Source organism: Homo sapiens, chromosome 2, assembly GCF_000001405.40.
Source record: "Homo sapiens chromosome 2, GRCh38.p14 Primary Assembly".
Taxonomy (NCBI): Eukaryota; Metazoa; Chordata; class Mammalia; order Primates; family Hominidae; genus Homo; species Homo sapiens.
In genome coordinates, this window is record NC_000002.12 from 111,022,776 (window position 1) to 111,033,858 (window position 11,083).

General features: G+C 44.3%; 1 protein-coding gene across 25 annotated transcripts in view, besides 1 other annotated feature; it reads left to right on the top strand.

Annotated features, from left to right (window-relative positions):
- Nucleotides 1–11,083, top strand: part of ACOXL (acyl-CoA oxidase like) — a 385,976-nt gene that overhangs the window by 290,203 nt on the left and 84,690 nt on the right. For 21 of the 25 annotated variants that reach the window (NM_001437600.1, NM_001142807.4, XM_011511411.4 and 18 more), the window contains one exon: nucleotides 8,852–8,939. The exons of the other annotated variants lie outside the window; for them this stretch is intronic. In NM_001437600.1, coding sequence (NP_001424529.1) covers nucleotides 8,852–8,939 — 88 coding nt within the window. The remainder of the gene's footprint in view (nucleotides 1–8,851; nucleotides 8,940–11,083) is intronic. 25 annotated transcript variants of the gene reach the window in all.
- Nucleotides 9,612–10,811: an enhancer, noted in NCBI's record as "P300/CBP strongly-dependent group 1 enhancer chr2:111789964-111791163 (GRCh37/hg19 assembly coordinates)". NCBI's record gives its function as "activates an origin of replication core promoter dependent on BRD2, BRD4, P300/CBP, MED14 and CDK7 cofactors, with strong dependence on P300/CBP, by STARR-seq in HCT116 cells {active_cell/tissue: HCT116}" and the evidence as "EXISTENCE:reporter gene assay evidence [ECO:0000049][PMID:35650434]".

Sequence of the window (11,083 nt, forward strand, 5' to 3'; positions counted from 1 at the left end):
GTACCACTGTGTTGGAGGTGACCACGCTGGAAGCCCAGGCCACTGGCGACACTTACTACAGAAAGGAAAGAGAAGAAAAGGAAGGAGAAGGAGGAAGAAAAAAGACTCTGTGGCCTGGGAAGATCTGGCTTGCGACATTTCCCGTGACTCTGCAAGGTGGTTACTGGCTAGGCAGTTCAGGGCTCACCCCCAAGAGCAGAAAGTGGGGAAGCAATCATAGTGTTGGCCTCTACTTGTCTATAAAAATATTTTAATGTAGCTGCATACTCCATGTCTGTTGTTGAACTCCATATCTGATGGGCGTCATGTGAGAGGGGCAGCACCTGATGTGTGTCGCAAAAGCTGACATCCAGGCTCCGAGACGTCCTTCTGTCTACCAGGTGGGAGTGCAGTTATTGATCAGGACTGGACTCTTTCCTGATGATGCCACCTCTGTGCACAGGGAGATGAGAGGGGAGCGGGGAGATTTAGGAGTAAGCACGGTCAAATCACTCTAAGGACATACAAATGGATCTGGGGCTAGGTACAAGGGGAGGAATGTTTTAAACGCTGCCCTGGACAGGACCCTGAAGAACTCAGAAGGTGGAAGCAGAAATGATGGCACTGGAAAGGCCTGATGCATTCTGCAGAGGATTGTGCACTCCCTCAGGTTTCTGCTCATCCTGTTTTAATCAAAAAATGGGATTTTTTGATTACAGGGAGACATCTGTAGCCCGTGGAAGTGGTATTGGGCTGGAAGGCTGGCATGAGGAAGGGGCCATCTGTGGGTCCGGATGGGTGTGGGGACGTGTGGGAGAAGGGGCCCCATGGGAAATAGTGAGATGCAGAGCATGCTGCTGAGCGTTAGGTGGTCCTGGGTATGGAGCAGGATGGAGGATAATTGCCAAGAGAGACACTGAGCCCCTCAGCGTGGCTGGAGGGCAGAGTGGGCACAGAACACAGGGCTGGAGGAAGGCATGGGCCAGACAGGGAAATTGAAGCTGTCACAGCTGGGGAAGCTGTCACAGCTGGGGAAGCCACCACAGGGGCCTTAAAATGCTGTGGTTGGGAGAAGACCAAGGACACCCAGACCGAGGAGGGACACTCCTAGGCTGCGATGGTGGAAGGTGGGTGGCTGGGCCAAGAGAACATGCAAGGACAATCTGAGCACTCACTCACTCAGTGAACTGCCACCTCAGGCCCAGTGTTTTGCTAGTGCTGGGCACCCTGGCCTCCTGTTGAACAGGTCAAGGAGGGACTGTGATCACCTTTAACAATTAGGGGAGGCAGAGTGTATCAGCTAAAGTGCTTGTCTGCTGTGGTTTAACTAAAGAGGGGCTTGCTGTTCTCCCCCAATGAGAAGACAGAGGTAGGCAGCCTAGGACTCAGGCTGTGGCTCCATGACAAAGAAGGGCCAGGGCTCTTACTCTCTCCGTCCTCTCTGTCCCCAGGTTGTAGATTGAATTCTGTCCTTGAAAAAGATATGTTCAAGTCCTAACCCGCAGTACCTGTGAATGTGACCCTGTTGGAAATAGGGTCTTTGCAGATGGAATCAAATTAGGTCACACTGGAGTAGGGTGGGCTTTAACCCAATATGACTGCTGTCTTTATAAGAAGAGCAGAGACTCATGGAAGAAGGCTTTATGCTGGTGGAGGCAGCAATGGGAGTGAAGCAGCTGCAAGCCAAGGAATGTTGGAGACCACTGGCAACCACCAGAAGCCAGAAGAGGAAAGAAAGAACCTTCAGAGGTGGCATGGAACTGCTGACACCTTGATTTCAGACTTCTAGCCTCCAGAACTGCGAGAGAATACATTTCTGTTTTTAGCCACTAGGATTGTGGTAAGGAGTTACAGCAGCCCTAGGGAACCAATATACCTCCATAGTGCAGCCTTTAAAACTGTTCTCAAGGTCACATGGTGGCTGAGTTCCAAGCAGGTAGGTGCAGAAAGGACAAAGAGAAAAAGGCGGTATCTTGTTATCAGGAAAACAGTAGCTTTTACAGAGGAGCTTCCCGGTAGACAACTGCCTGTTCTCATTGGCAAGGGAGGTTACATGTCTAACCCTAGCGGCTAGGGAGTATGGGGAGGTGAGATTTAAAAAAAAAGAAATCCATTTTTATATATAAAAATTATATAATATATAAATGTATAATAATATATATTACATATAATTTACATGAATTAAAATTAACCAATTTTAAATGTACAACTAACCAGTTTTGACAAATGCATATGTCATATAACCACCACTAGCATCTGGATATAGGACATTTCTGTCACCCACAAAGTTCCTTTGTGCAACTTTGCAGTCAATCCCTTCCCCATCCCCAACTCCTGGAAACTACTTATCTTTCTTTCATTGTAAATTTGCCTTTTCTATAATTTAATAGAAATGGAACAGCTTAGGTTTGTTCCTCTTTATTGTGAAGTGGTATTCGTTTGTGTAGGTGTATACAATTTGTTTACCCATTAAGCAGGTGGTAGATGTACGCACTGCTTCCCGTGTTGGCTATTATGAATAAAGCTTCTGTGAACAATTTTATATGTGACTTTATGTGGACATATGTTTTTGTTTATCTTGTGTAAATACCGAGGGGTGGAATGGCTGGGTTCTTCTATAGGTATAGGTTTAACTTAATCAGAAATTGCCCAGCTGTTTCTAAAGTGGCTGTAACATTTTACACTCCCATCAGCAATGATTTTAGTTGCTCCACATCCTCACCAATACTCGGTTTTGCAAGTCTTACTCATTTTAGCCATTTTAGTGGGTGCGTAGTACCTTCTCATTGTGGTCTTAATCTGCGTTTCTCAGATCTTCTTCATGTGTTTATTTGCTATTCATTTTGTCTTCTTTGGTGAAGTGTGTGTTCAGATTTTCTGTCCATCTGTTAAACTGGGTTTTGTTTTCCTGTGACTGAGCTGTAGATGTCTTTACAAATTCTGTACAGAAATCCTTTATTATATGAGATTGCATAGATTTTTGCCTCATCCATTACCTGCCTTTTCATTTGCTTCACAGTGTATTTAAATTTTGAAAACATTCAAAATTTGTGTCTTATCTCACAAAATCTAAACCAAGGTCACTAAGATTTTCTGTTAGGTTTTCATCTAGAAACTTTGTAGATTTAGTGTTTACATTTAGGTCTATGATTCTCTTTGGGCTAGCTTTTGTATATGGTATGAAGTAAAGGATAAGGTTCATTTATTTCTTTGTTTTTTCATGTGGATGTTCAATTGTTTTAGTGCCATTTGTTGAAAAATTGTTTTCCCCTCATTCAATTACCTTGGTACCTTTGTAGAAAATCAGTAGACCATATACATATGTGGCTCTGTTTCTGAACTCTCTACTGTGTTCTATTCACTCATGTTTCTATCCTTACCCCAATACCGTACTGTTGCGTTTACTATAGCTTTATAGGAAGCCTTAAAATGAGGCAGTGTGAATCCTCCAATGCTTCTTTTCTCAAAATGGTTTTGACTTTTCTAGGTCCTCTGTATTCTTTTACAAATTTTCTAATTAGCTTGTATGGTTCTACCATACTCACACAAAATAAGGTCTGCTGGCATTCATTTTGATTGGCATTGTGTTGCATCTATAGATCAATATGGGGAGAAGTGACATCTTAGCAATATCGAGTTCTCTGACCTATGAACACAATGTATAGTTCTCCGTTTTTTTAAGTGGTCTTTTAAAATTTCGTTCTGTGAAGTTTTTTTAGTTTTCATATATAGATCTTACATTTTATAAAATAAAAATATATTTTATAATATAAATATAAAATATATTTTATAAAATGTATCCTTAAGGATTTCACATTTTTGATGCTATTGTAAATGGCATTTTTATTTTGAGTTCCAGTTCATTGCTAGAATATAGAAATACAATTGATTTTTGTATATCAATCTTGTACTTTGTGCCTTTCTTTAACTCAGTAGTTCCAGTAGCTTTGTTGCCAGAAGATGGGCCTTGATTCAAATCCCAAGAGGGGGTTCTTGGATCATGTGCAGGAAGGAATTCAAGGCAAGTCACAGTGCAGTGAGAAGAGATCATTTATTGAAAACTACTCAGTTACAGAGTAGGGTGTCCTCAGAAAGCAAGAGGAGGAATGTGCAGTCTTTGTGTTTTGTTGTTGTTGTTGGGTTTTTGTTTTCGTTTTTTTAAGATAAGGTCTCCCTCTGTTGCCCAGGCTGGAGTGCAGTGATACGATCATGGCTCACTGCACCTTGACCCTCTCAGGCTCAGGTGATACTTCCACTTCAGCCTCCCAAGTAGCTGAAACTACAGGCACCCACCATCACGCCCAGCTAATTTTTGTGTTTTTTGTAGAGACGGGGTTTCACCATGTTGCCCAGGCTGGTCTTGAACTCCTGGGCTCAAGTGATCCACCCACCTCAGCCTCTAAAGTGCTGGGATTACAGGCGTGAGCCACCACGCCTGGGCCATCTTTGTTTTAAACCCTTCTTATATAGGGGTCTTATCTTTGTAAAGGCTAAGCTAAGTTCTGTCTATGTGTGGGAGAGCTGACAGCATGGCAAAATTTACTATTCTGTTGATTTAAAGAAAATTATTCTTTTTTTTTTTTTTGAGACAGAGTTTCACTCTGTCACCCAGGCTGGAGTGCAGTGCCATGATCTCGGCTCACTACAACCTCCACCTCCTGTGTTCAAGCGATTCTTCTGCCTCAGCCTCCCGGGTAGCTGGGACTACAGGTGTGTGCCACCACACCCAGCTAATTTTTGTATTTTTGGTAGAGACAGGGTTTCACCATATTGGCCAGGCTAGGCTCGAACTCCTGACCTCGTGATCTGCCCACCTCAGCCTCCCAAAGTGCTGGGATTACAGGCGTGAGCCACCGCACTTGGCCCCTTGTTTTTTTTATTGAATAAGTACCTCAAAGCATAAATATAATTATCTTAAAATCATATATCGTTATGGTTATTGGGACATCTGGACTTTCCTTTGTTGTAAGATTGTGTTCTTTCAGGTACATTTAAGCTGTTTTCTCAACTGTAAACATCTTATGACCATGGTTCATGACTGGCAAGGAATGTGCCTTGCTAGTTTTAAGATGGAGTTGATTTTAAAATGATGTCACCTTGGTTCTCCTGTGCTCCTATTTCTCTAACAGCTTTATTATATATTTCTTAGGCTGGGCACAGTGGCTCACACCTGTAATTCCAGCAACTTTGGGAGGCCAATGCTGGCAGATCACTCGAGCCCAGGAGTTTGAGACCAGATCCAGCAACACAGCAAGACCCTATCTCTACTGAAAATTCAGAAGAGTTAGCCATGCATGGTGTTGTGCACCTGTAGTCCCGGCTACCCAGAAGGCTGAGGTTGGGAGGATTGCAAGAACCCAGGAGGTCAAGGCTGCAGTGAGCCATGATCATGCCACTGCAGTCAAGCCTGGGTGACAGGAGTGAGACCCTGTCTCAAAAATAAATAAATAAATAAATATTTCTTAAGATTTTTCTACATAGACAATCATGTCTTTTTGAGTGGAGTCAGTCTTACTTACTCCTTTTTGTTTGTTTTGGAGTTTTTTTGAGACAGGGTCTCACTGTGTCACCCAGGCTAGAGTGCAATGGCATGATCTTGGCTCAGTATACCCAGGCTCAAGCAATCCTCCCACCTCAGCCCTCTGAGCTCCTCGGCCTCCCAAAGTGCTGGGTTTGCAGGTTTAAGCCACTGTGCCTGGCCTACTTATTCCTTTTTAATCTCCTTTAATTTCCTTTTCTTGCCTTATTGCCCTGGCTAGAATCTCCATTTTGGTGTTGAAAGGAAGTGCTGATAACAGAATCCTCATCTTCTACTTGAACTTAAGGGGAAAGCACTCAGCCTTTACCTTTAAGTATGATGTTAGCTGACATTTTTTGTAGATCCTCTGCAGGAAAGTATTTTTTTAATTGGCTGTATGGCTGCCCAAATCTATTTGAGGCTTTTCAAGAAAAGAAAGGCGAATGGATATGGGGAAACTTCTTTATGCATTCAGCTCTTTGTCTTAGCTGTGTGATGCTTTATCAGGAAATAGTCATATCTTTTCATTCAAAGATTTAAGTATGGGATGTTGTTGATATTAAATGTGACCATGTGTGATCATCCATCTTTATAAACAGCATGCTTGGGAGGGGCAGGTTTTGCCAGGGAACTAACTCACTCTCAGTCCATTGGGAGGCAGTGTAGCCCATGGTTAGGGATGTGGGCTCAGAGGCCTGGGCACCCTGTTCCAACTCAGCTCTGCAACCTTGTCCAAGTTACTGAACATTTCTGTGTTGCAATTTCCTACCTGCAAAATGAAGATCTTAATAAAATCTACTTCCAGAGCTTCTGAAGACTTAATGAGCAAATACAATTAAGTGCTTAAAACAGAGCCTGTTTTCTGGTGCATTTTTAAGAAGGACTTAGTTGGCATAAGACTGTATTTACACATAGGTTTTCAGTAGCATGTTTATTGCCTGAAGCAAAGAACAGCCATATCATTTTTTAAATCCCCTCCTGGAACCTCGTATTAAGGTTTTTTTAAGATGAGAGAGTTGATTTCTGTTGTTTCACAATATTGTTTGTGCAATACATATATTTTAAAATCTTGTGCATTGCATAGGCAATTAGAGGGTTATAATGGTTGCCAGCAATACTCTCGAAGTTAATGCTGTCTCTGCACTTGGAGGCCGAGCCAGAATTTGACCTTCTGATGCGTTCATTTTGACCACTTGACAGCAGAATGGTGTGTAGAGCCTATACTGCTCCTAGGTCAGCCCATCTGGGCGTGAGGATCACTGTGAAGCCCGCAGTTGGCTTCAGCCTCTTATTTCCTACCAATAAACTCTAATTCAAGGGGACAGAGGCTTCTCAGTCAGTTGCTTTCCTATTCTAGGAATGCTGCCTTTCCATCAGCATGCCCCAAGACCTGGGTGCTCTTCTTCCTGCCTGGGGCGGGTCTGGAGGTGGGGCCAGGGAGCCTCTTGCCAGCAGGGGTGAGGTTACACTGAGCCTGCTCCAATGTCCTGCAACAGCACCAAGATATTGACATATAAGGAAGAGCACTTGGGAGCTGGCTGGTAGGCCTTCAAGGGGCCTTTCCTCTTCACTTGAACTTGTTGTGGTTTTTTTTCCTTTTTCCTCATACTCTGAGGGGTGCAGTTGTAGCCAGCTTTGCACAGGGCTTTCTGCAAAGTTTCCCACCTGAAGTCCCTTCTTCAGGCAGGGGTCTGCATTGCACAGCCAGTTAGTTTTCTGTCCCTGGTTTTCTTTTGATCAGGCCAGTGAAAAACTTACTCTACACATTGAGTTTAAAAAAAAAAAGCAATTAAAAAGTGCCCTTGATTCTATTTGGACACATGTGCACAGTGTTTTATTCTTCTCTGCCTCCCATGCAATGGTGGGGGATAGTCGGTGCATGATTAGGAGGTTAAACCATATTAACTGGGATTTCCTGGTGTTGTCCTTTACAGTGGAATGGGTAGAGCTTCAGCATCTCCTTCCAGAACTTCCAGAAGTGTCTGGCCAGCTCTTGTCCTCCCCCTGCCAAGATGTTCTGCTGCAGGCTGTTCCCTGAGAGTTGCATGCATCTGCCACACCCTTTCAGTTGTAATTGTGACACCAGTGCAGAGAGATATCAATTCAGGGAGCAAAGCAGACATTATCCTTTCCCTCGATTGTCATGAGATGCCCCAGTTAGGTGTGGATCCCGAGGCACCCATGACATTGTCCTCCAAACTGTGCCTGCGGCCCCAGGTGATGTTGCTAAATTATACATGGGTAGAGGCTTTCAGCAGCGCTGTTTTTCCACCGGAGCACAAAGCACTGTGTTACAGCAGGGATTTTACATGTGGATCTCCAGGCCCCGCAGAAACCGCAGAGCTGCAGGGAAGCAAGTAACTATTTAACTGAGAGGGCACGTCAGGGTGTGAGTTAAATACAAATGAGAAGCAGATACATTGAGTGTAACTTTCTATTTGAGTTATTTCCTTGAGCACAAAAAAAAAAATGCTAAAAGTTTAAGTATTAAACCCATGTGGTTTTCGAAACAAAGAAAGTCAAGAAGGAACAAAGAAAAGTTTTACGGGCCACATTTAACTCTCCTGTCTGGTCAGATAAGAATCTGAGACCTTCAGCTCCTCCTAAATGATGGTAATTACTAGTTTTGTGATTCGGTATCTTTCTGTTCTCTGTGCCTTCTTCATTCTTATTTTACTCTAGTTATATTAATATGTCCTCACTTCCCTCCAACTAAAACACAAAGCAAAGAAAAAAGACTCGCTTCATTAGAGTGATTGAAAGACTATCTTGCACAGAGTAGATGCAGAAAAGCTATTTGTCACATGCATAAATGACATCCCCATCACTCTGGATCCTATCTCCAGGTTTATGTTAATTCCTCACATATATCAAACATGGCAGCTAGTCAGTGCCAATTCTTGAGACATAACATGTTTGAGAAACACTTTGGAAACAAATGGAAGCTCCTGACTGCAAGGGAAGGAAGGAGGGAACGTGGGCTGGTTATGTTGAGGATTAGATTCAAGTAGTTTGTTCTGGTATTTTGAATTCTTCAGGCAGTAAGTGACCCAATCAGAACAGCCTCACTTGATCTGTGCCTGCATTCTCCCCTTCACGTGTTTCTCTAACGTCTGTGACCTCCATTAGTATAAATTAATATAAGCATGGAAACAGGGCTTCTCTACATGTATGATATTTATTCATCTAACAAGCAGTTTTTGCAGGTCACAGAGGCCAGCCTACAGAAGGTTCTGCACTGTGTCCATGCTTAATGTAGTACTGAAAATTTGGATGTTTGCCGTCTGTCTTGCTATTAAGTTAGACTCTCTCACAATATCCTCAATGGTGATTTTTCTTCTGTCGATTGGACAGGTAAAGACCAAGAAGGAGGATTTTTTCCATGCCTGGAACTCGTGTCTGCACCACGTGGCTTCTCTGTCCCTGGCACACACTCACCGAGGTCAGTTGGCTCCTGTTGAATATTTGTAATTGAGTGACTCAGGGGTCTACGGGTCCCTGGAGACACAGCTCTGCAGGGAAAGGACAGTCCCAACACACAGGGAAGGGACAGTCCGTGTGTTGAATTTAGGGCCCCAAGTGACTTACAGAGACTTGAAGCTTGTGGTAAATCAACTCCCAACTTACTAGGAACACTGACCATATGACACCCACAAAGCCTGATGCTAAACCAGTCAGGAACAGCTCACTTAACACAACCTGACAATCACACGAAGCACTTGACAGGAGCCAGTTGGCAAAATGCCTGTCCCTCAGAAGTGGCCCTCTGCCTGACCATGATCTCGTTCCTAAACGGGAGGGTGTGCACACAGATAAAGTGAGAGTGTTTTAACAGGGGTCCTGCCTGAGGAATTTTAAGTGCCAGAATTACTTAGACCTCATCATCAAATTAGCAAGAAACTGGGTCAACCTTCTAAAGCAGTGGTTCTCAACCAGGGGCAATTTTGCAACGTTTGGATGTTTGGCAATGTTTAGAGACGTTTTTGGTTGTCACACTGAGAGGGGTAGTGCCACTGGTGCGCAGTGGGTGGAGGCCAGGGATACTGCTAACATGCTACAGGGCACAGACCGCTCCCCTGCAACCAAGAATTATCTAGCCCCAAATGACAGTAATGCTGAGATTGAGAAACTTGAGTATTCATTTTGGCTTCAGTCGACCAAAATAGCAAAATAAAATGAAACACTGAACACCAAGTAAGATCCATGACGGCTTATCATTGAAATTATTGTTTAATTTCAAGAATCGTCAGTTTGTTTCTCATCATGTCCTGATCTATGGGAAGAAGCTGTTAAAAGAGAAAGGCCAGTTGTTCACTGAGTTGGTAGCTTTATGGGATTTTTCATCACACTGGGTCACTGCTGGCCCTGGGAGGGCTGGGTTTGGTCATACCACAGCTTGCATCTGGGGCACTATCTCATGGGATGGAGATGGGCTCCTCGGTGGGATCAGGGCAGGTATTATGGCCAGGAACCTAGGAGTGTGCCTGCGTCCAACACAACCTCCCAGCCTGACCATCCCCCTTCCTCCCTGACTGGGCAGTTCCAAAAGAGCAAAGTGCATGTGATTCAGTGCCATGTGACTATACCTGCAGGAATGTGTGGGAGCCGCCCTAGGAGCTCTGATGAGAGCTGGATTGGAGTGAGTGCTTTAGGCTCAGACTGAGCCCAGCTTCTTCCTTCCTTCTAAGGACCAGCTCTTGGGACCTTGCACCTTTGGGTGAGCCTCCTAACACAGGGCTCTGGAGTAAACGTGCCGAGAGCACAGGTTTCTCATGGGACGGGAAGCAGGGGCCCCATGGGAACACCTCCCCAGAGACTGGTCTCCACCCAGTGACCACACTCTGAAATGACCATGACCGCATTGGCCTTCCTGATTCTGACTGAGTTCCACTTTCTGCTTCCTGGGACATGGAGGAGGAGCGAGGAGAGGGACCAGGAGCATCAGGGACTATGGGTCATGAAGGCACAGGATTGGGTCCCGTCATTTGCAGACTCAACATTTTTAATGTATTGCCCACCCACAGTGTATCAGGCTCAGAGAAACTGACTTATCTTAATTGAACTCAAAAATGAGTCATATTTAAATCTAAATGCCAGTTTATTCATCAGAAAGAAAATCCAGCCACCAAGTCATCAGTACATGCCCTATCTGTTCTACGAGCATATCTTCAGATAGAATTCAGTTATAATTAGGAGGTTGCAGGAAGTCACACTATCAAGACAGCTCGTGTCCTCAGGCCTGGCTGGAGATCTGAGTGTCCCCTGTGACCTGCTCCAGACCCTAGAGCCCACAGTGTGTCTACTTCCCTGGACTATCTCCATACACTCAGCATCAACCTCATTCCTTTAAGAAATTTATGTAAACCACCCTTCTTCTGTTGGTGGGTTATTTCTTCAGATTTGCCGATCGGGTTGAAACATATCTGGGGTATGAAACAGTACTTGAGACACCCTGATTGAAGGCGACTGTGTCTTGGGCCTTCTCATTCACTGTAGGTAGACTTGTACTGGCTTCACTCTCAGGGGTGGTGTGGCCCTGGCTCCTCCCTCTGGGCCCCTATGTACTGACCACAGATATCGCCCTTC